The sequence below is a fragment of the Homo sapiens genome, chromosome 6, assembly GCF_000001405.40.
Source record: "Homo sapiens chromosome 6, GRCh38.p14 Primary Assembly".
NCBI lineage: Eukaryota > Metazoa > Chordata > Mammalia > Primates > Hominidae > Homo > Homo sapiens.
In genome coordinates this window covers 167006382-167032273 of record NC_000006.12, presented here as the reverse complement: position 1 = coordinate 167032273, position 25892 = coordinate 167006382, and the positions used below count along the sequence as shown (strand labels likewise).

General features: G+C 41.0%; 1 protein-coding gene across 3 annotated transcripts in view; it reads right to left on the bottom strand.

Moving 5' to 3' along the window:
- Positions 1–25892, bottom strand: part of CEP43 (centrosomal protein 43) — a 53322-nt gene that overhangs the window by 20445 nt on the left and 6985 nt on the right. Inside the window, exons 6-10 of one of the 3 annotated variants that reach the window (NM_007045.4) lie at positions 21381–21461; positions 18707–18766; positions 9639–9865; positions 7380–7492; positions 5659–5727 (exon numbers count right to left, since the gene is read on the bottom strand). In NM_007045.4, the coding sequence (NP_008976.1) occupies positions 5659–5727; positions 7380–7492; positions 9639–9865; positions 18707–18766; positions 21381–21461 (550 nt within the window). The remainder of the gene's footprint in view (positions 1–5658; positions 5728–7379; positions 7493–9638; positions 9866–18706; positions 18767–21380; positions 21462–25892) is intronic. The other 2 variants (NM_194429.3, NM_001278690.2) reach the window with 2 other exon arrangements.

Here is a 25892-nt window from a genome sequence, read left to right as displayed (position 1 = left end):
CTAGGTACTAGATGAACTACTGAGCGTTTTCAACATGCTAATTGTTTTGTTATAAAAGTTAAAAAACACTCATGAGGTGTGAAGAGGCCATGAAGCACAGCAAATAAGGGCACCTTCAGTCAGACAGAGCCAGGCTCAGGCCTCAGACCTGCCACTCAACAGCTCTGTGACCTGGGAATGTGAGGTGCCCTTTCTGGGCCATGTCCTCTGCTCTGACGTACAGCCAAAGCCACACCAATCAGAGTTAACATAAGGATTCAGGTACATGATGTGCTTAACAGAGACCTTGGTCCACAGTAAGATCTTAATAAAAGGCAACTGAATGAAGGTGGGATGGTGAATAGTGAGGCAGTGTTACCAGTTTCTCAAAGTGCACCACAAGCCTCTGACAGAGGGGGCACCTTCAGATCAACTTAAGGCTATAAAGGACAAATTTGCAAATCAGCAGCCCTTCCCTCCCAGGACTTCTGAGGGCTAGATGAGGAAAAAGAGTTGTCAGCCTCAAAGCAGACTTGGAGGCACATGAGAGCCAACTTAAAATGTGAATGGATGGCCTATGAAAGACCCAGGAAGCATGTACAGCCACATGCAGAAGATGCAGATCACAAAAAGAAGACCTGGCATGACAGAGAGCCGTTCAAAGACCCTGCGGGCCTTGTCCTCGATCTTCCCTCAGATAAGGCTGGACTGTCTCTAAATCGGTCAGACTGCTGAGGGGATTCAAGCTCTGTCCAGACAGTTAGACAATGTAATTCTCTTACAGCCAAATCATATGATTAATTTATCAACCAGCTGAGTGATGACTAGGTCCCCTAGAGGTATAGCAATGACTAAGATGGTATCTCTGATCTCAGGGAGCAAACACTCTAGTGAAGAGGAACAGTGGAACAAACCAAATACTGCTAGTGCAATTGGGAAGAACTCCAAGGTAGCAACTGAGTGGAAACCTAGGTTGCAGAGGTACAAATTACTGGGGACAGTGTGTTCCAAGAGGAAACATGTGAAAGGCCCTGAGGTGGGGGAGGGTGCGGTGGTTTGAAAAACCACCAGTGCAGCCCAGAGCAGTGACGCACATCTGTAATCCAGCTACTTGGGAGGCCAAGGCAGGAGGATCACTTGCACCCAGGAGTTTGAGACCAGCCTGGGCAACATTGCAAGACCCCCTCAAAAATTAAAAATTTATTTTATTTTTTAAATTTTAATTTTTAAAATACTGTCTCAAAAAAAATGTAAAAACCACCAGTAAGGAAGCCATACAACCATAAAACAATGAATTTGGGGGACAGAATGGGTGGAGGAAGAAAAAAGGAGTGGCGATCAGAAGGGTTGGCAGAAGCCGGATCATTAGGGCTTGGTTGGTTGCAATAAGGATCTTAGCCTGAATACAAAGGGAAGCTTTGTACAAAGGGATGGGGTGGGGTGGGGGAAGACAGGAGTGAAAAAGTGCAGGGTAGCACTACCTCACTTCTGTTTTCCCAGAGATAATCGTACCACCGCCAGAAGAAATATGTGTACAGGAGGCAACAATGAAAGTAAGGAAAGCAGAAGGCTGTCAGAAAGTCCAGGCCAAAGAGAACAGGGGTAAAAGGCTTGGGTCAAGGCAGGTGTCCCACAGATAAGACAGACGGGTAGATGATATGGGGTGGGAAGAATATCAGCAAACGAAGAAAACATGAGTCCTTGTTCCTGCTACATCCAAACCTTGCCCAGTAATGAACTGGAAATCCCTGATCATAAGCAGTCAGGAGGGACATGTCAGGAGCTTCCTCTCCTCTTGAGAATCAAGAGCTCGTCTCCACTGTAGCCTCAAAGGTTAAAGGGCTGCAAGTGCTTGCCAGAAACCAGGCACTGTCAGGGCCGAGAAGGAGAAGTGGAAATCTGATTAAACAAACTACATATGTGGCTGGTTTGCAAGCGCTAAGTAAAACCAGGAGTGGCAGCTACTAAAATGTCAGCCTCCAAGGACCCATTGTAGTGTTCCTATGTGTGAAGGCCAGTGAGGAGAGCAGAGGTGGACACTGAGCTGAGACAGCGAGGACGGCTGTGGCTGCAATGTGGATTTAAAGAAAGCTAACTGGATTCCCCACCTGGCAGCATTTGTAGCCAATTCAAAACACAAGATTGTCAGGCCTCTGAGCCCAAGCTAAGCCATCATATCCCCAGTGTCCTGCACGTGTACATCCAGATGGCCTGAAGCAATTGAAGATCCACAAAAGAAGTGAAAATAGCCTTAACTGATGACATTCCACCATTGTGATTTGTTTCTGCCCTACCCTAACTGATCAATGTACTTTGTAATCTCCCCCACCCTTAAGAAGGTTCTTTATAATCTCCCCCATGCTTAAGAAGGTTCTTTGTAGTTCTCCCCACCCTTGAGAATGTACTTTGTAAGATCCAACCCCTTCCCTCAAAACATTGCTCTTAACTCCACCACCTATCCCAAAACCTGTAAGAACTAATGATAATCCACAACCCTTTGCTGACTCTCTTTTCGGACTCAGCCTGCCTGCACCCAGGTGAAATAAACAGCCATGTTGCTCACACAAAGACTGTTTGGTGGTCTCTTCAGACAGACACATGAGACAAAGATATTTACTGAATAATGTGCTATAACACATCAGATTCTGACTTCTTGGTTATGTATTGTTTAGTATTACAATAATTTAAGCCAGTGTCAAAATGATTAACAGAATACATACAGGTTAAGCATCCCAAATTCAAAAATTTGAAAACCAAACTTGAATAAAATCCAGAACTTTCTGAGTGGGGACGTAATGCTCAGAGAAACTGCTCATTGGAGCATTTCGGACTTTCAGATTTTCAGATTTGGGATGCTCATCTGGTAAGAAAAATGCAAACATTTCAAAATCCAAAAAAATCCAGACTCTGAAATACTTCTGGTCCCAAGCATTTGCATTAAGGGATACTCAACCTGTACTACATTACTTTAAGGGTCAGCAAATTTTGGCCCTCAGGCCAAGGATTCTTGTTTTCTTCATTTTTTGACAGTCTCTCCTCCCCATCCCATACCCTCTGTCTTATCTGCCCTTACCCCAGTCATCTTTGGCCCGGACTTCCTGACAGCCTTCTGCTTTCCTTACTTTCATTCTTGCCTCTGGCTGATGACCTGCTTTTGTTCAGCCTGTGAACTAAGAATGGCTTTTACATTTTTAAAGATTGTTAAAAAACAAAAAAACAAAAAAACACACAAAGACTATGTGAGAGACAGTACATGCCATCCACAAACCCTAAAATATAGACTATTTGGCCCTTTACGGAAAAAGCTTAGCAACTCTTGCTTTAAATATGCAAAGTACCTATCTATAAACACTCCTTTTGGGCACCTTTAATTAATATTTGTCTGCCAAACTAAAATAGATGGTGCTCTAAAGCTTTATTTGTAGATTATTTATTTGGAACTCAGAATTTATGTTCCCATTGAAATGATTATTTCAATATGTCTAAATAACATACAGGCAGTAAAACACAGTGGTGAGGGCTCTGTGTGATGCATCAGGACTCTAAAAGCAGCATGACCTTGGGCAAGTTACTTAACCTAGATTCTTCATCTGTAAAAATGGAGATAGTAATAAAACCTACCTCATAGGATATGAATTAAATAAAATAATTCCTTGGTACAGTGCCAGGCACTTACCACTAACATCATTATTCTCCTAGGCTGGTCCACTAACATCTGTCTACATATTACTCAAAATACCTAGAGTACTGTATATTTAAAATGTAAACAACCCAAACAGAAAACAACATTGTTGCAAAACGAAATAAAACTTTATTTCTACTGAATCCTAATGCCTAGCTAAATGACAAACATCCAGCTAGTGAACTGGTAGTTCTCACCTGCATAACTACCCCAATTCCAACCCGAGATATGCCTAAGTCCCAAGACAAAGTGAAGTGAAGGAGCACACCACCCTCCTGCCTGTACCCAGCAACTCTGCAGCCCCAGCAACGACATTCCCTCCTGAGGATGACAATTCTCGGCAGCTCCCCACTCAGAAACAGGAGGGAAAACCCTCGCTTTGGTAAGAGAATAGAGCAGTCAGAGAAAAAAGCTAAAAGGTTTGGCAACAGAGTGAAACACCACAAAAGTGAAAAAAACAGAACACAAAGGGGACAAGGCGGCCATCACGGTGCAGAGGTCAGGAGTAAAGTCTCTGGTGGCAGTTAGCCACTGAGATTTAGTGGAAAAGAACATCTAATGGCAACCATGACCACAGCTGACAGGAAAAGCACAAGGGAGGGAAAGGAGGCAGGCCCACCTAGCTGGCCAGCCAGCAACCAGGACGCACAAAGAGCAGATGGCAGCACAACCAGCAACTCAGTTACCAGGACTCCAGGGCACTGTGCGGAACAAGAATCCGGGCAGCTCAGGGAACATTTATTCTTCTGCAAATGGGGGGAAAAGTAACGTAAAAAGAAAACTAACATTTACTAGGCACCTACCATGCCAGCCACTGTACTTTAATTTACATATGAAGAGATATTTAAATCCTATTTACTCTTTAAAACAAGGCAGATGTTATTAGTTCCACTTAACAGATGAGGAAATAGCAGTTTAGTTTATCTCCCTACGCTACCCATCAATCAGTGCCACATCTGAGATGTCACTTCTATCCAACTCCAAGCCCAAGTTCTTTGCACTATCCAGAATGTCTCTCCAGAAGAGGGAAGGGCATTCTCGGAGCTGCCCCTTGGACAGGGCTGGGTTTTAAAAGCAAATGGGGACACACCTTTCTTTCTCCCTAACCTGCCTGTGAAGCTCTTCCAATGCTTCCATGTGAGTGATTACAGACCAGGAAGGGATCCCATCACATCCACAGAGAGCATAGGAAGTGGCCATTGAGAACCTGGCTGCACCGTTTCCTTCAGGTCACCAAGTTTGCCTTTACATAAATGAGTTTGCCTAAAGTATGCCTGTCACACTGCTACAGTCTTGCACAGAACAGAACACTGAATGAGAAATGTGCTCTCAACATATGGCCCAGGGCTCGGTAATGTTCACATCGACACTCTTACTTCCATAGGAATGAATGTACTTACATGGCAGGCTTACCAACTTCTGCTCCATAGAACAGAACTGAACACATCTCACAATTTTTCTTTCAATAAGTCTGTTTCCCCACTAGACTGAATTCTCTGAGGCCTGGACCATGTACTACCAGCATCTAGCAAATGGCTCTGCCTCTGCCCAAATTTTTCTCAGTCTGAACTGAAATATCTTCCCTTCTCTCTTATACATGTACTTAACCATGAAGCTTCTGCACAGAAGTCACTTCTTATAAGAAGTCTTCCCTGAATGCCAAGACTGGACAAAGGTAACCTACTAGCCATTTCTATACCCATATATACTGACCCTTTTACAGTCAAAATATCTGTAGATGCCCGTTTAATGTTCATATTCCTGACCAGAATTTAAACTCCATGAAGACAGAGGTTCACGAGAACATGATGGCTGTTGCTGTAGCCATCTCTCGCATAGCGTGTAATCCTGAACACATAAAAGCCATTCAAACACCTGCTGAATGAGCAGCAGCAGGAAGGTGCTCAGCGTAGGCAGACGGAGTCACTTCTTTTACAGCCTTACCCTAAAAATAATCACTTTAAAACGATCAGCACAAAAACTAGAAATCTAATTACCTAATCCAAGTGATCCAATTTTATCACTGATCAATTTCAGATCTTTCAAAACTGTATTTCCCCTTTTACCTGTGAACAGGAGAAAATATTAACATTAGAGTGACTTAGAATATAACAGTCTCTAAACCACATCAATTTTTGTCGTTGTTCAATATGGGGCTTCTTTATGACAGGAGCATAATAACCTAAAACTAAGGAAAAAATAAACTGTGATTAATGAACGCTTAAGCTATGCATCACAACCCTTTTTTTGAGACGGAGTCTCATCACTGTCACTCAGGCTGGAGTGCAATGGCGCGGTCTCAGCTCACTGCAACCTCTGCCTTCTGGGTTCAAGCGATTCTCCCGCCTCAGCCTCCCGAGTAGCTGGGACTACAGGCATGTGCTACCACACCCAGCTAATTTTTGTATTTTTAGTAGAGACAGGGTTTCCCTATGTTGGATAGGCTGGTCTCGAACTCCTGACCTCGTGATCCACCCACCTCGGCCTCCCAAAGTGCTGGTATTACAGGCGTGAGCCACTGCACCCAGCTACATCCCTTTTTAAACCATAAACAATACTACTTTATTGGAACACAACCACCAAAAACCATTTTTTGCCTCATTATAAGACATCACTTTCCATAAACAGCCCTGTTAGGTATGAATTCATAGACTGTTAATTATTTTCATGAGTCTTATTTTTCCTTTGAATTTCTAAATTTTTCTTCAGTGCAACTGCTATTTCACTTACTAAAGTGACATCCTCACTGGTTTTTTAGTCCTTTGTTCTCAACGTCCTCTCTAAATGATCATTCTCTAATCAATGTCAGAATGACATGTTCATGATGTCCTGGATTCCTTTCTTAAAGGTGGCAGTAACCACGGGAAAGAAGCAAATGGGAAGGGATGCGGACATTATAAATACATGGCTGGTTTAAGAGAAGCAACAGGCCGGCTCTCTTATGTGCCCTAGGAAGTCCCACAGTATATCAAGCAATACAAAAAGATTCGGAAATACTGGACAATTATGCAAAACGCATACTGCAAATTCTTAGTGAATCTACTTTAGGAAACTTTCTCAAAAGAGGTACACGTGCTCTGAAACACTACGCTAATTAAATACAACATTTACTATGATACGGTTTCCAAAGGACCTCTGCCCATCCTACATGTTCAGGGCTATGCTTTTTAAATTCCTATCACTGTGTGTGGGGAGAGGTGGGAAAGTAACTGGTGCCAGAGCTAGACTATTCCATGTGTAACCAGTGCTCTTTAGCTCTGCTGCATTTACGATGACATGTCAGGTCACTGTTCTTGAAAATGATCTGCAGAATAATTTTTTATTTAACATTTTATGATACTTACTGTGGTATCACCAAATTTTTAAAAATTAATTGAAAGCAAATCCAACTCAAGTCATTGTAAATGTCCAAAAAAGGAGAGATGATTTAAAAATTTTATTTCTATAGATAATAAAAATCAGCTAAAAAGTCAACTTCCCAAAAGTATTCCGATGGTATATAGGTATAGGAAGGGCCAGAATACAAAACAACATATAAAATAGGACCACCTTAGAAGTAACAAAACACAACAAAATATTAACAGGAAATATCTCTGAGTGATAAAATGATAGGTTATTTTAGTGATTTTCCTGGGAAAAAAAATCAACAATAATCACATAGTATTTAATTAGAGAAAAAATATCCCGAGTATTGAAGTCCACATCTTTGGGCACTTACTCTCAGAGTCTTTTAAAGAAGGGGCTCCCGCCAGGGAGCTGAGTCCACTTTTTAAGGGGGGTGCATCCGAGAGCGAGGCCAGACTTCCTGCTTGCTTCCTAGGTTCCTTCCTCCTAACAAGAAACAAGGACAGTTAATCGGTGCTCTTATGTTCTGCCACTAAACACTTTTATTCTGCCACAGAAACAAAAGCAACTTAAAGATATTTTATACGTGTGGTGGCTGGAAATCAAGAATATACACTTTAAAGATTCAAAACCATAAAGTACACCAAGGGAGTGCAAACTACAGATCAACCACAATCGGCACAGCCAGGGCGTAAGAAATCAGCTCACCTCTCTTTAGAATTCTGTTTGATATAAACTAAATTGACCTCTTCACTGTGATTTTTTTCGGAAGCCCTTTTCCATTACCCAGACATGCAGCCAAGGGACAATACAGGAGTTTACTAGCAAATAAGTGCCACCTCTCAGATTTAATATTGCTTACAGAAGCCACTAACAGCCATGCTGATGAACTCCCCTTAAAGTCATGACCACTAACCTCAAGGGGACCTTTAAAACTGCCCAACAACCCTCCGGGTTTCCACAGTGCCTTCTCGCCTTACTTTCTTATAGAAAGATTTCATGCTTTCTCCACTCTCCTCTTATCTCCAACCTCCGTCCTCCATCCTCACTCAACTATGAACTCAGGTGACAGCTTGCACAGGTGCCACCATCATATCCACCCCCTGCCTACAATGAGACCCACACGCTCTCCACTTTTCCAGCAAACACAAGCCCCTGCATGGGATTCCACTGCTGCGCAGCCCTCCAGTTCTCCTCTCACTCCCTTACATCATTAATTCTTCCATCTTTAAAGCTGAACAGCTCTCGTCAGCATACATGCTGTTATTTCTCCCACCTAAACACGTTTTTCAGCCCTAAATCCTGCCCCTCCAGCCACCACCCTGCTCCTCTGCACACTTTTACAACTCATCAGAAAACTATTTTTCATCTACAATCCTTTCCTGTCTGTCTTGAATGCACTCTAATTCTCTAACCTGCCTCGCACCCCCATTCCAACAAAACTGTGTCAAGGTCATCACTGACCTCCAGATGGCTAAATCCAACGGCATCATACAGCTACTCCTCCCTACCGCCACCTCCACAGACACCACTCTCCTGGTTCCATCTCCTCTGCTGCTTCTAGCTCCCTGCTCTGGCCTCAAGGTGCGCAGGACCTGCTTCCTTGGTGATCCTCTGTAGTCTCCCACACCCCACATTATCTACAAACTGATGACTCCTAATTTACATCTCCAGCTCAGACCTCTCCATCAATCCCAACGCATACACTCAATAGCCTACTTTGGATTTCCACTAGCAATCTTCTCTAACTTAGCACAGCAACAGGGGCCTCCAGGCTGTCATGCCACCTGTCTGTGTAATCCACTCTTGCTCTTGCCACTCTTCATCTAACGTGTTTCCAACCTTCTAGTTTTGCAGGCTAAAAACCATGATGCCACTCTGTATATTACTTTTCTCTAGCACTTACTGGCAAATCCTTTTCCATCATTAACGGCCTCCTAACTGGAAACTCTAAGACCAACCTTCCCCAGCAACCTCAGGATCCTTCTGTAATGTACGCCAGATCAAGATCCTCAGGGCTTCCAGTCTCAAAGAAAAGCCGTCCAGCTCCTCATCTCTGAGTCCACCTCATCCGATCCCCATCTTGCTCTCTCTGCTACCCCCAACTCGCCTCCCTGCTGTCTGTTTCCTCTCCCCAAAGCTCCATCAACCCACGGCAACTCCCTTACCTCCTCTAGCTCTTTGCTCACTGGGCACCTCCAAGTGAGGCCCCCTCCAATTTGGACAGCTGACATGCACCTGCCCTGACCACACACTCGGGCTCCCATCACTGCTCTGCTCTCATCACCCCACACACTGCAGCATAACCCTCATTGCCTGACTCTGTCACCAGAGCATGAGCTTCCTGAGGGCAGGAGTCTTCCCTCTTCTATCATTGCTGCACCCCACCCTGGAACAGCCCTGGCAAGTGGCTGACACTCAATCTACACTTACTTGTTGGAATAAATCATGTCTAGGTTTTTCTAAAATCTGGGATTGTTTTACAACATGAAAGGCATTAACAACGCATAGTCAGATTTATGGATCCAATAATTATAAACCTTCCATAGTTCATTATTTTTTAACTATAAAATGAAAACATTTATCTTATTTTTAAACCCCTAGTCTCATAGCTCAAAAACCATTTACTCACAAACCGTAAGTTTTCTCTGGCTTAGGAATGGGATCATCAAAGAAAGAATCTCCTTCCATATCATCTTCATCTGGACAAAGGCCAGCTTTGTCTTTGCCATCTAAAGTTCTGTTGCTTAGAAAAGATCCAATTTTTGTTTCATGGGACAGTAAGTGAAGGCTGCTTTTGCTCTTGGGTTCTGACAAGGAGACACTTGTATCACTCTGATTGGCCTCATCATTGGCCTTCTAGAAAGAGAGGGAAAGAGAAAAGGCCTCCTTGGTGAGATAAAACTTTAAGATATTTTCAATAATAAAAGAAGTCTCATGAGCATAATCAAACCTGTGTGTGTGCAACCTTTGTGTGTGTGTGTGTGTGTGTGTGTGTGTGTGTGTGTTGGGGCAGCTCTCAGCAGCGTGAACTGCAGAGCAATGCCACAATTCATCACTCCATCCCCAGGATTCCTAACATGGCAAACTTTCAAAGGGGGAAAAATATTAGAGAAATATATTAATACCATTCCTTTCCTCTTTCCCTAAATGGAAATACCTTTAGTATACCTATCCCATTTATAAACACTTTCCCATTGAGAAACAATTTCCCATCTCCTCTTCCATATGTCATTGCTTCATAAGTTATCTTAAATTAATACATTTTCAACTTGAAATCAGGAGAGATCATTATTATTAAAGGAGAAAAGAAAGATTATTTCATATGAATGAACCAAGCATTAAAGTAGTCATCAGTAAAAATAGCAATTTTCTATCCAGTGCTAAACACAACAGGCATCAAGGTGAAAGGCGCTGCCTTCAACCACTCATATTTCTAACATAAACCTTTGCTAATCAAAGTAATTATCTCAATTCTAACTTCCAGGGTAACTTCCTAACCTATACCTCATTTTGATGTCCATGGACATATATACGTGTGTGTGTGTGTGTATTTCTCTATGTATATTAACATCAATGTTATAAAAAAATTCTGAATCATCCTTATCCATGCCCTTGGATACAGAGTGATGTTACCACTTTTCTTTTTTGTTTTCAGGGAGTCCTAACCTTCACAGCCGACTTTCACTCCATTCTTGGTCAGATTTCTTTCTGCCCTTAGACGGGTCTATGTTAATAATAATAATGAAAACAAAAAATAATGCTAGTAATAATAAAAGCAGCTGACATTTATGGAGAACATTCAAATGCTTCACCTTATCTCACTGAATCTTGAAAATGGCCCTAGGATCTGGAGATGGCTTTCTATCTGTGGATATAAATCAGGAAACACAGAGACAGACATTGATGTCACTTGTCAAAGTCTCCAGAGAGTTAAGTGGTCAGGTCAATATCAAAGTCAAAGCCTGCTTCCAGAGGTTAACTCAATATTTATGCTATTAAGCTAAATTATAATGAATTTGTGGGCTTTATGGGTTAAAAATGGCAATTTCCCAAAATTCAGCCTTGCATACTAAAGAGAGCAGTATTGTGTAAAATACCCGTGGAATAATAGAAAAAGCACTCAACTGAAACAAGGAATCTGGAATGTAGTCCAAAATTATTAACTCCATTTTTTTTTCTTTTTTTTTTTTTTCTTTTTTAAGAAACAGGCTCTCACTATGTCATCCAGGCTGGTCTTAAAACTCCTGGGCTCAAGCAGTCCTCCTTGCCTCAGTCTCCCAAGTAGCTGGGTTTATGGGATTACAAGCACAAACTACACCCAGTCGTATAATCTTTTTTTTTTTTTTTTTTTTTTTTGAGACAGAGTCTCGCTCTGTCACTCAGGCTGGAGTGCAGTGGGGCAATCTGGGCTAACTGCAACCTCCGCCTCCCAGATTCAAGCGATTCTCCTGCCTCAGCCTCCTGAGTAGCTGGGATTTCAGGCGCGTGCCACCACGCTTGGCTAATTTTTGTATTTTTAGTAGAAACAGGGTTTCAACATGTTGGCCACGCTGGTCTCGAACTTCTGACCTCAAGTGATCCACCCGCCTCGGCCTCCCAAAGTGCTGGGATTACAGGCGTGAGCCGTGAGCCACCATACATGGCCCGTGTAATCTTAAGTAAATTAATTTCCTAGGCATGAGTTTCCTCAAGAATTGAACTAGATTCATATTTTTCAGATCAAATTATATCTAGGAAGGGATGGATGGCTGAGAAAGAATTAAAGAGTAGTAACTACTGAAGCATGGTGACCAAAGTCTGGGTTAGACATTACCGAACAAGACGCTCCTGAAGGATGGTTTCACTTTTCATATGGGTACAGACAGAATGCATTATGCATGTCTTATGATATACGTTTACATCTTTACACCAGGTAGAGGTCTTGACTAGTTGACAGTAGGCAAGATATATGCTGTGCAAATTTTATTGCCTTCTAGAGAGCTACACATTCCATGTTATTAATATAAATTAATGATTATAAAGAGATGTCTGAAAAAATAAATAGCAAGTTATAATTTTAGACAACATATTTTCAAAGGGATGGAAACTTTCAAAAATTTCCTAACAACTTTCTTGACATTTTCCTGGTATTATCAAATATAGAAAAATATTATGTAATTCACAGCAGTTGTAATTTCTGATTTTTACACTGTTTTAATAATGGATTTATGTCTTTTTAAAAGAATATGCATTTGGAAATAAATACCCTGATGTGATATTTAAACATATGTACAATGACACAGCCTGTGGCCACGACAGATTCTCTCCTTCTAAACACTCATGAGAAAGTGCCAAAGAATAACTGGCATGACAGAAACTGAAAAATGTAAATGTAAAGCAATATTATGAGAAACAATAATTATTCTGATTTCCCCAAGAATTCACACTGCCAATGTAACTTAAATCCACATAATGAACTATCTAGTATCAAAGCTGAGCAACTAGTAGGTATCCATGATTATTTGACAGGTTTGACCAATATTCCCGCTATAGACAGAAAGACCAGTTTTAGGAAGACAAGTTTTACGGAGAAGGGCATTACTATATTACACAACACATACTTGTAAACATAACAGAATTATTTTAAAAATATAGTTCTCTTAATCCAGGGAGTAAAAATAAATTCTGAAACAATCTGCTTTGGAACTGCTCTCAAAATCTAGTTCTAAACCACACAGTAACATGTTACTACTTTATAACTATGGCTCATTTTTGCCAAAAGACCATTACCAACTAGGTTATTAATGAATTCACTAAACTTAATTCCAAATAAACTTCACTATTAAAAAAATCTACAGGAAGAGGAGAAAGATTTGTCATCAACACATTTTGCAGATTAAAACCAAAGCACTGAAAACGCTGAGAGCAGTTTCAGTGGCTCCTCCATGTACACAGCAGGTGTACCCGTGTGCACAGCAGGTGTACGCGTGTGCACAGCAGGTGTATGTGTGTGCACAGCAGGTGTATGCGTGTGCACAGCAGGTGTATGCATGTGCACAGATGCTCAACCCACAACAGCGCTTCACCTCATCAACCGTCAAGTGAAAATATCACAAAGTGGAAAACGGGCACTTCATAAACATGAGGTGCAAAAACACAATATCCAAAAAATGCTGGCTATTCAGTCCCCTGGCATCAGAGTGCCTCGTGACCATGTGGCTGACTGGAAGCCGTGGCTCAACGTCACTGCCTGGCCCCGAGAGAGAATCGTACCACCGATTACTGTCCTGGGAAAAGATCAAAACTCAACGTATGCTATCTACTTAATCTATATCACTTTTGTACCATCATAAAGTCAAAAAAGCATAAATCAAACTGTTGTAACATTGGGGACCATCTGTATACGTATGTATACCCGGGAATCTGCTTTAAAAACCCTTATCATGAGTTAAGACGAACTTATGTTACGTACATAAACTTCAGTTACTTGGGTTTTGTATCACCTGGATTTGGCTAAGTTGAAGATTCAAAATGAAGCTAAATAACTAAGGTTAAGTATTGTTTAAAAACTAACAAATAAGATTTAAAAAATATAAGGCCAGGCACAGTGGCTCACACCTGTAATCCCAGCACTTTGGGAGGCCGAGGCAGGCGGATCATGAGGTCAGGAGATCCGAAACCATCCTGGCCAACATAGTGGAACCCCGTCTCTACTAAAAATACAAAAATTAGCTGGGTGTGGTGGCACGTGCCTGTAATCCCAGCTACTCAGGAGGCTGGGGCAGGAGAATCGCTTGAACCAGGAAGTTGGAGGTTGCAGTGAGCTGTAATCGCCGCCACTGCACTCCAGCCTGGTGACAGAGCGAGAATCCGTCTCAAAAAAAAATACACACACACACACATACCATGGCAATGCCTTAGAATTCATTCTCTGGACAAGCACAAAAGTTATGGGTCAAACTGTATCCCACAAATGAAATATGTTGAAACCCCTAACTCCCAGTACTTCAGAGTGTGACCTTATTTGGAAACAGTGTCCACTGCAGATGTATTTAGTTAAGATGAGTCCATTCAAAGAGTAGGGTGGGCCTGGGTCCTAACCTAATGAGTGGTATCCTTGCTGGGGGGAAGAGACACAGAGAAACACAGGGAGAAGTCCATGTGAAGATGGAGGCAAAGACTGGAGTAATCCATCTACAAGCCAAACAGCATCTGGGTCTAGCAGCCACCAGAAGCTAGAACAGGAGCCACAGCCCTCCGCGAACCTTGATTTCACATTTTTAAGCCTCTAGAACTGTGACACAACACATGTGTTGTTTTAAGCCACCCAATATTGGTACTTATATTACATTAGCCCTAGGAAACAAATCAAGTCATTTATAACAAAAAACTAAAACAAGTTTTGTCTTTTCATAAAAGTGAGGGACCTATTGCACAGCACTACAACGGTCATTAAGTTCTCTTGGCTGGAGCTCAAGACTAATAATAAGCTCTATGGGAAATTATAGTGCAGCCATAAGAAAGCTTTAGTATATATTTAAATTATCCAATAGTACACTCATATAATAAAGAAGCCAATCATTTCTAGATTAACAAAAAGTCAGCACTAGAGAAGTTTCACAATGAGAAACCTTAATTTTTCAGTAGTCAAAAACTGAATTGTATCAGACTGACTTAAGAACCTGAAAAAAAAAAAAAAGAATTTTTTTCCAAACTGTTCATGTAGGAAAAATATCAAAGAAATACTATTGTTTTGCAAAAGTATTCAAAAAATTCATGCAATACAGTTGTCCCTCAGTACCCAGGACACCTGCAGACACCAAAGTCCGAGGATGCTCAAGTCCCTCGTATAAAATGCTGTAGTATTTGCACATAGCCTACACACATCCTCCCATATGCTTTGAATCATCTCTAGATTACTTGTAATACCTAATAAATGTAATGCTATGTAGACAGTTGTATACCATTATTTTAAAATTTGTATCATTATTGGCCAGGCGCGGTGGCTCACACCTGTAATCCCAGCACTTTGGGAGCCCAAGGCAGGTGGATCACGAGGTCAGGAGATCAAGACCATCCTAGCTAACACAGTGAAACCCCGTCTCTACTAAAAATACAAAAAATTAGCCGGGCTTGGTGGTGGGCGCCTGTAATCCCAGCTACTCAGGAGGCTGAGGCAGGAGCCTCCCGTGAACCCGGGAGGCGGAGCTTGCAGTGAGCCGAGATCGTGCCACTGCACTCCAGCCTGGGCGACAGAGAGAGACTCCATCTCAAAAAAATAAAAAAAAAAAAAAATAAATAAATAATAAATAAAATTTGTATTATTATTTTTTATAACCATTTTTCCATTTACATACGACTGAATCTGCAGGTGTGAAAGCAATGCATATGAAACCTCCAGATATGAGGCTGACTGTATTTAAAATTCTCTTCACCCATGCCTCTGCCCCCCACCTCTCTCCCTGCCAACGACAGTTTCTGATCCATGACTTACTAATGAATTATTTAGAGAAGTAATTTTACTACAGGGCTAAGTGTGGGAACATTCATGCATCCATGTATCCATTCATTCAGGATGGTGTGAGAGTGTGACAGGGAATGGTAACGCCTGGTTTGGAAAATCCTCAGGTGACTGCCAAAGATACAAAAACATATGCCCCAAAACCTACACGTAATGTGAAAAAGCATCTCAATACATGTTAGTTTTAAAATACCTGAAAACTGGGCCAGGCACGGTGGCTCATGCCTGTAATCCCAGCACTTTGGGAGGCCGAGGCAGGAGGATCACTTGAGCCCCACAGTTGAGGATCAGAATGGACAACCATAGTGAGACCCCTGCCTCTACATGAAAACATTTTTTAAAAAATTAGCCAGCTGTGCTGGCATGCACCTGTTGTCCTAGCTACCCAAGAGGCTGAAGTGGGCACTTGACCCCAGGAGGACAAGTGGTGTGAGCCATGATCACACCACTGCACTCCAGCCTAGGTGACAGAGTGAGACCTTGTCTCTAAAAAGAAACAGACACCTGAAAACTATTTGTAAGAAGAAAGGATGATCTTTCATATTACATTTAATATAATGATAAAGAGCAACTAATTCTAAATATTAAAAACAAAAAAATATAGATCTTACTCAACATTTCCAACTAAATGGTAAAAACCTAAGCTAGTAGGGCCTATCAAAAGTCTGTTATAATTTTCTGATACTTTTTTTTTTTTCCAAACAATTAGGATGTTTGGTACAACGAAATGGAATACAATGAGATAAATTATCACAGATGATACTTTGGAAGTCAGCAAGTATTAATATATATTTCAAAATTATTAATTCATTTTTAAAATGCCCTCTCATTTCATATTTATACTCCTTGTATACCAAATCTTTTATCTTTAATCTTTATTTTATTTTTATCTTTATTGTCTCTTAGCAACAACAAAAATAAGAACTTCAGTTTTGCCCAAGTTACATCAGTTCAAAAACCCTACAAATCAATTCTAACTATACATATGAATGTTTTTTTAAGTTTATTTATAATATGAATATAGCTTCCCTGAAGAAAGTGCCAAGGGTCTCTGAGTGAGCCACTAGTACTTGTCGCCTCCTGCATTCGAAAGCAACCGGACACATGCGACACTCCTGATCAGTGCTCCAGAGCTCCGGGAGCAGCGGTACCCTAGGCCCTCCTGCATCGCATGCCCAGTTCACGTCTGCAGGACAGGCAGGGCTCCCATGATGGCTTTGCATACCTTGGGAGATGCCACTCACCTACCATGCGGATGGCTCCATCTGGAGTCTTGCTGTGTACAACCTCAACCACCACATGCAACATAGCATCTGGATGATGAAGATGTTGAGAATGTTAAGGCTGTTGGGAACTCACTGCATGCACAAGGCAAAGCAGAAAGGCAGGGGAACAAAGAGCTAAGGGCTTACCCATATAAGTAAGGCTGGCAATAGGCCACATGGGGTACAATACAGACTTCTCACAAGGCAGTTCAGAAACAAGATCAGAAATGTACAGGGAAAAAGGTTTCCAAGTAATTGAGGAAGCATCCTGGCCTCAGGAACACAACAATGAAATAGAAGAGACCCAAATTATGGACTAAATCCTGGGATATGGGCCCACCTAGATTCTTCAATCCCCTCTCAAGTCAGGGCACACACTACACTCTGCCCAAAGTACCGCGAAAGCTAAAGTCTGGGCCCATCACAGTTATTTCACATCACACAAAGTGAAAACCACATCTCTTAGGATGCCTTGGCTCTATGTATAAACTTCTTGAAAATGTTTAAGTTGTTTGAAACCCACAATAGCAGTAAGATTATAAAAGCTTAATACTATAAAATATGCTTTTAAATTTTAGAAAAGCCCAAGAAACTGATTTTTAAAATCTATTAAGAAGTTTTATATCTTACTTAAGGTATGTCTCATCTCTCCAATTAAACTATAAACTCCTTAAGTGAGAACTGTGTTAAATGTGTTGCCCAAAGCATTAACACACAATAACTTTCACTATGTAAATGTTAAAAAAAACTTACTAAATCATTATTTTAAAGCAACTTCTTGTTTAATAACGCATAAAGAACAGTGTGAACAGAAAGAGAATACAGTAATAGGAATTTACCTTTGAAACTCCTAGAACTAAAGCCATCTAACACAACAGGTGGAATTTTTAAAAAGCTTTAAGTTTGAAGATTTTCAACCTAGTGAAAAAATCTATACATAACCAAAGTTCAGCATAGGACTAATGAATCTCACAGAACTGAAAATTAAATATTTTGTCTTATCCTAAGTACATGTAAAAACTGTACTGATAATGTTTCTAAAACTTCTAATATTTAAATTTCATAAGCAGCTAATCTACTGGATTAGTCAATTTTTGTGATCTTTAGGAGAGGATGAAAAAGCAGCCAAGGCCTTGGTAGTATGCAGCACTGGCCCCCAGCAGTCTACTGTGAGCAGGGGCACTGAATAAAGGATCACAAATGTGCAATTGTCTGAAAAATGACAGAACACAAAAACATCTTGGAGGAAATACGTTTAATTTTTAATTTATCAATAGGTACGTATTCAAAAAAATAGTTTGATGTTCTATTTTCCTCAAATAAAAATCACAATGTTACTAATATGTATATAATCATCCATTCAAAAGAAAAATACGTATTTTCAACTCTAATTGCCAACACAACAGGAATTTTCAAAGTAAAACTGAGAGCATGGTTTTAAGATTCAACAGTATGATTTTCACCTGGATAAAAACTGACAGTGAAATTTACTTTTTATTTCATGCCATCGTTACTTTTTTGTTTTTTTAGACAGAGTCTCACTCTGTCACCCATGCTGGAGTGCAATGGCACGATTTCAGCTCACTGCAACCTCCGCTTCCCGGGTTAAAGCGATTCTCCTGCCTCAGCCTCCCAAGTAGCTGGGATTACAGGCGCACACCACCACGGCCGGCTAATTTTTGTATTTTAGTAGAGGCGGGGTTTCACCATGTTGGCCAGGATGGTCTCGAACTCCTGACCTCAAGTGATCCGCCCGCCTTGGACTCCCAAAGTGCTGGGATTACAGGCGTGAGCCACCTAGCCCAGCCTCAAGTGACATTTCATAAGAAAACTGAGAACCCAATCTGACAGGAGCCCAGCGCTCCAGGAGGCCCCAGAGTCGAGACCTGATGCCCACAGGCTGCTTTTCTCCTCTGCCCTCATGCATGTTACCTTGTCACCAGCCTTCTGCCCGCTTGTCTTCTTCTTACCTTGTCCTTTATACCTTGGTATCTGAGCATGAGAATAAAATGAGATTTTACCACAAAATAGAAATCTTTAAAAAATAAACTAACTCATTACCAAACAAAGATACCTACTGAAAAATGTCTCAGAAGTGGAACATCTAGTTAATATGTTCTGTGAGGCCTGCTTTTTTTGGTCCTTTCTTAACTATTCCTAGAGTGATCTACCTCATGTTTACTGTTTCCAATAGTTACTAGGTCAAACACAGATACCTTAGCCTCCACCTGCTCAGCTTCTACTGGGTGGAGAATCAGCTCTTTCATGCTACATTTTAGCAGCATTCTAAATAAGCCTCACTTGAGTTCCTAGGCAACTTCCTTGAAGACTTGTCCTGACCTCATCTGACCTTTCTCAGGAGCACACAAAGCTGGTTCCTAAAGGTTGGGTGGACCCTACTCTTGGAGAGTTTCTAGCATTCTCCGTGGGCCCTCAAGGCTGATTTGGTAGGAGGTAGCTAGCAAGAAGACGGTAGGGAAAGTACTGGATCCCAAATCCAGGTCCTTTAGTACTAGAGAAATTGCATTTTAAGTGCCAAAATAAGGGTTTATTTTAGAACAGATGCAACCCTACACAAGGACTATCTAGGGTATTTCTGAAGTGGGTTTATGAGGCCAACTGAGAAACGGAGACTAAACTAGAATAACGGGATGACGGCAGAGACAGCTGTTAGGACAAACGCTATTCTCTAAAGCAGCCTCAGGACAGTCCCCCCTTCTCTGGAAAAACTCACAGCATCATTTCCTGACTGACTTAAAACATTGAGATTCTCATTATAATTCTTAGATCTTAAAATGTATGTAGGGAGAATAAGAGTACGTAAAATAGACTTTAATATTTTACCCTGAAGACATACATTATATATAGGTTAGGATTGCTAATTTGCTTTAAAAACAGTAATAATTTGCTAAAAAGAGCTTCCAAATAGTCAAATGCTATAGGTACTGATAAGTATTTTGGAATATTCATTAATTTTAATTTTTCTAAAGCCAGGTATTTTCATGAAAAGTAAAGCTTACTTACATAGGCTGTTTTATTTGCAATTAATTTAAAGAAATTTTAAAAATTTACTCATGACCTTACTCTATCACTGGGGTTATAGCCTCCTATGAGTATTTAGGAAAAAAAAAATTTTAAAAAAAGGCCTTCCCTACACCAACTAGAAATCTCAGAAGGAGCAACTATAAACAATACAATAGTTGTTTCTTTGGTTAGAAATGAAGTATAAAATTCCTTAGTTTTCCAAACTTAAACAATAAAAAGGAGCAACAACATCAAAGAACAAGCAAAAAATAACAGCAATCGTTCAGCAATGTTCTGTGCCTAGACATTTAAAAAAGAAAGGTATCGTGTAGTATAATCACTACGTCCTGGAAGTTCATCTATTTAAAAAGATGCAACTGTATCTGAGAGTCGATCCACCACCATAAACCCACATGGGACCTCATCTTTTGGAATGGACTCCACAGCATCACTCTATTCCTATGGGATGAAAATCAAAGGGACAGTCAAAGAATACAAACCCGACCTGTCATGGACTGCAGGTTTGTGTAGTCCACAAACCCCCAGCTCCTATGTTGAAATCCTAACCCTCAATGTGATGGTATCAGAAGGTGGAGCCTTTGCGGGGTGAGCAGATCATGCGGGTGAAGGCTTTGTGAATGGGATTAGGGCCCTGACCCCAGAGAGCTCTCTCACCCTCTTTCCACCACGTGAGGACACAATGAGAAGGCAGCTCTCTGCAACCTAGAAGAGGGACCTCACCAGACCTAACCACAGTGATGCCGTGATCTTGGACTTCCAGCCTCCAGAACTGTGAGGAAAAATGTGTTGTTTGTAAGCTGCCCAATCTATGGTACTTGGCAGCCTGAACAGACTAAGACAGACCCCAACCTATCCTTTGGTAAGACCGCCTGGGACTACCAATTCATGCTGTGCTCTTGAGAAAACAAATTTCCTGACAATCATCTTTCTATCCATTCCTACATATCCTGGATCTTAAATTCAAAGTGTAGAGCTCATTTTTTTTCCCATTATGCTTAATCTCTGAAATCAAGTCTTACCTTTAACAACTCATAAACACACAAACAGACGCACACATGCATACACACACAAATGTAACCAAAGTACATACATTTTCTTAGAAATTGTATCAAAACAGCCCAGGTATATTAAAAACCATCATGATTTACAATTCTGAATCTCATCACCCATCTAGAAGTCTAAAATATTCATTCAATATTATATCCTATAATACATATTTCTAGCTTAATATTCTCAAGCTAGGAATTTATAAATGAAAAGTAAGTAAATCTCCTTGTTAATAGGAGAAAATGTCCGAAGTACCAAATAAATCCAAATATTCTATGATTCTGTTACTTACCAGCACATTCCTTTCTACAATACAAATGTCAAACAACTACCAACAAAGCAAAACTTTTTTTTTAATGTATACTTAATGGAAAAAAAGCACCTTCAAGAAACTAAAGAGCCCATGTGTTTATATAAAACAATACAACTTGTAACAAGAAAGACTAGAGAGAGAAAAGCAGAGCACTCTGGAGTTAAGTCCAGACATGACTTCCGTGTTCCACAGCTAACTCACCTTACTTGGTGTTGTCTGTGCACTTGTTTTTCCCTCTGGTGACTTTGGTGGAGAATGTACATCAGATAGATCAAGTGCACCCTAAAATATTTTAGTTTAAAATTAAAATACATTTAAAAATAAAACACAAATATACCAATTACACTCCAATAGAATTTTAGCATTTAAAAACACTATACAATGTTGGTATTTTATTTCTTATTAAAGTAACCATCCTTTTTAGATTTTCCTCTAATTTTACCCCCTCAAAAACCTTCTACACATCCCTAGATTCTAATTACCTGCAAAATATTTCATTTATTCACTTTGAACAGGATACTGTCTTTCTCCACTGAAATCTGTCCCAGGTCTACCATTCCAGGATTTACTTCCTCACTTCCCTTCTCCCTACTCTCCAGACAAATAATATCCTGTAATTCTCTAAGATCTACTTTTTGCCCTCCTTGAATTTGTTTCCCTACTTCATTTTATCTCAAGAAAAAATACCAAATAACAACTTTCATTAAAAATACTTTACCCCTTCAAATAGTAGTTCACTCTCCCAGTTTTCTACTTTCACACATTTTTTTTCCAAAATGGTAAGTACCTGTTCTAGCCCAACTTCCACAGGAGTCATCTGTGTCTGCTGCCCAGTGCCCTGTCACCACAGGGTTCTGAGCACTGTGGTTAATGCCAAGGAGGAGGTTTTTAAAATGTTTCTTAAATGAAAATCACTTCCTACAATTCATCCACTACCAGCACAAGCTCTAGGACACTGTACATAGTAAATACTGGCTGTTTGTTACAAAAATCCCTTTATGACTGACTGTAACTTTTTAAATACGAAAATGTGCTGTTCTTCATAACTTCAGTTCTCCCTCTTCAGTCCCACTATTTCTGTTGGTGATATTATCTTCTAGGCTAAAATCCTTAAACTGGCCTTTGAGAGCTTTTCTTTTCTCTTATTGCCTTCTGTGACCTTGCCCCATGCCAAAATATTAGTTTACCAAGTCTTGTTGATTCTCAAAAGGTCATCTTTATCTATTCATTTCTTTCTTTCTTTTATTTTTCTTTTTTTTGAAACAGGGTCTCACTCTGTTACCCAGGCTGGAGTGCAGTGGTGCGATCTCGGCTCACTGCAATCTCCGCCTCCCAGATTCAAGTGATCCTCCCACCTCAGCCTCTCAAGTAGCTGGGATTATAGGAATGCACCACCGCACCCAACTAACTTTTTTTTTTTTTTTTTTTTGAGACGGAGTTTCATTCTTGTTGTCCAGGTTAGAGTGCAATGGCGAGATCTTGGCTTACTGCAACCTCCGACTGCCGGGTTCAAGCGATTCTCTTGCCTCAACCTCCCGAGTACCACGCCCAGCTAATTCCTTGTATTTTTTTTTTTTTTTTTTTTTTTTTTTTTTGAGACAGAGTCTCGCTCTGTGGAGTGCAGAGGCGCAATCTTGGCTCACCACAACCTCCACCTCCCGGGTTCAAGCAATTCTCCTGCCTCGCCCTCCCGAGTAGCTGGGACTACAGGTGCACACCACCATGCCCAGCTAATTTTTGTGGTTTTAGTAGACAGAGGGTTTCACTATGTTGGCCAGGCTGGTCTCAAATGATCCGCCCGCCTCAGCCTCCCAATGTGGGATTACAGGTTTGAGCCACCGCACCTGGCCAATTTTTTGTATTTTGGTAGAGATGGAGTTCCACCATGTTGGCCAGGCTGGTCTCGTACTCCTGACCTCAGGTGATCCACCCGCCTTGGCCTCCCAAAGCGCTGGGATTACAGGCATGAGCCACCGCGCCCAACATTAATTTTTATATTTTTAATAGAGACGGGGTTTCACTAGGTTGGCCAGGCTGGTCTCAAACTCCTGGCCTCAAGTGATCCGCCTGCCTCGGCCTCCCAAAGTGCTGGAATTACAGGTGTGAGCCACCATGTCTAGCCTGTATGTCCACTTATTTCTATTCTTACTGCTACCATTCTTGTCTAGATTTGCCTTCTTATGTGTTTCACTTCTTTCTAGTCTGCTAACTTCTCCATATTTTACCAATCTAACCTCCACAAATCTTCTAAATGGGTATTCCTCTTCAAATTTTCAAAGGCTTCCACTGACTGTGAACAGTATGTTAAAAATCACTATGCCAGCTGGGCACGGTGGTTCACACCTGTAATCCCAGCAATTTGGGAGGCCAAGGCGGGTGGATCACGAGGTCAGAGATTGAGACCATCCTGGCTAACACGGTGAAACCCCGTCTCTACTAAAAATAAAAAAATAAAAAAAATTAGCCGGGTGTGGTGGTGGCTGCCTGTAGTCCCAGCTACTCGGGAGGCTGAGGCAGAAGAATGTCGTGAACCTGGGAGGTGGAGCTTGCAGCAGTGAGTTGAGATCTTGCCGCTGCACTCCAGCCTGGGCAACAGAGCAAGACTCCGTCTCAAAAAAAAACAAAAAAAAATCACAATGCCTTAGACTGTGTAAGAGATATGAAGATAAAGCCCTTGTCCTCAGTAAATTTCCATGTGTAACCAGTGCAGATCACTACTACAACTTTGACAGAAGGAGGCACTAAGTTACATGCAGTTTCCAGTAAGGAGAGAGGAAGAACAAGAGTTGCAGCTGAGGAGAAAACCTGACTGACAAAATTCCACAGCTGGGGAAGGGGAAAGAGTATAATTCCAAGTGGAGGATAGAATAACGAAATAAGAGAAGGCGAAAAAACACAAGCCACTTTCAAGTAGTAAGTCCAAAGTTCAATCTGACTTAAGTACAAGGTTCCACATTAAAAAAAAAAAAAACACATAAGGCTAGAAAGACAGGTTAAGGCCACATCACACAGAACATTTCATAAGGGCTGAAGAATCTGGGACTCCTGAGTCGGCAGTGCAGTCACTACAATCGTACAGAAGAAAGGAACAGAGGAAGGGCTGAAGTTTAAAAATAATTCTGCAACAGTGAATGACAGACTGAAAGCATGAGAACCTTTAGGAAGAAATGATCCTGGACAGATATAAGGACCTACATGGTAGAGGTGCTGAAGGAGATGAAAATGATCCATTGAGGGGCTCAGAAAACAAGAAAGGGCTTTAATTATCTACGGCTTGGGAGCATCCAATAAAACCAAACAAAAGTCAGGTTAAAGCGGGTGGGGCACAGCAACCTGATTCTTGAGGTGGTTAAAATGCAGTTTTGGTAAAAAGCATCAGTAATTTAGTTCAGTGAGCTTAACCTATAGCTAGTTTTCTACAGTCAAAGTCAAAAGCTAATAAAAGCTCTAATTTTTTATTTCATTATAAACAACAGGTTTTCTTCCAAAGTAATAGAAAACACTAATAAATAATGAAGGGCCAAAACATACATCTTTGAGGTCTCTATTTTAAATATTTTATCTATTTGTTTATATACATATGCACAAACTATTAAAATTAAATATCCAGATATTAGGAAGGGAAAACTAGCAAAAAATGGAGATGAGATGCCCAACTTACTGGTTCAGCAACTTGGGGGAGTAAAACAACTACCTTTTGAGGATACAGAATTCCTATCCTGGCTCTATTTGACAGAATCACAGCTATGAAAAAGTCAGGGCAAACTTCAGGGGAGGCCTCAAATCCACGAGTCAGAATGAAGTACTGAAGAACAGTGATTCTGTGTCCATTTTCACATCACACCCACTACACAGGCATGCTACTGGGTCTCATTTTGAGGTACACTCCTATCTAGCAGAGAACAGAAAGCCCTCCAGCAATTATTCTTTCTTCCACAGCCTGTTACCAAAGCTACGGGGTGCAAGGTGGAGAGTGAATCCTTCCTGACAGAAGAACTGAATCCAGAGCACATGTGAAGAGGTGGCTCCTTGGGATGAAACCAAGGAGTCACAGGAATAGAATCAATCAAAACACAGAAGTGAGCAAGAAGAACTTGAAGAGGGTTATTTGCGGGGAGTAAGGTGGGATTTGCTTTTGTCTTTATGTTTTTACTTTTTAGAGGTAAAGAGAAGAAAGTAAGTTTTTCCACACAGGATTCGAATATACTATTGGGTTATCCAGGGAGGTATGTTTTGTGAAGAGCTGGAAATTCTAGTCTGGAGCTAGGATAAAGGACTGAGCTGAGCTTAGGCAGACTACACTGAACTTAAAGAGTCATCCATACAATAACAAGAAACAGTAATACTAACACAGTCGTCCCTCAGTATCCACAGGGGACTGGTTGTAGGACTCTCCTGTGGACACCAAAATCCAAGGATGCTCAAGTCTCTTATGTGAAATGACATATTTGCATATAACTTATGTACTTCAAATCGTGTCTAACTTATATCTAATACAATGTAAATGCTATATAAATAGTTTTCTACTATATTTGCATTCTTTTGTTGTATTTTATCCAAATATTTTCTTTTTTTCTTTTTTTTGAGATGGAGTCTCGCTCTGTCGCCAGGCTGGAGTGCGGTGGCACGACCTCGCCTCACTGCCACCGCCACCTACTGGGTTCAAGTGATTCTGCCTCAGCCTCCCAAGTAGCTGGGACTACAGGCACACAC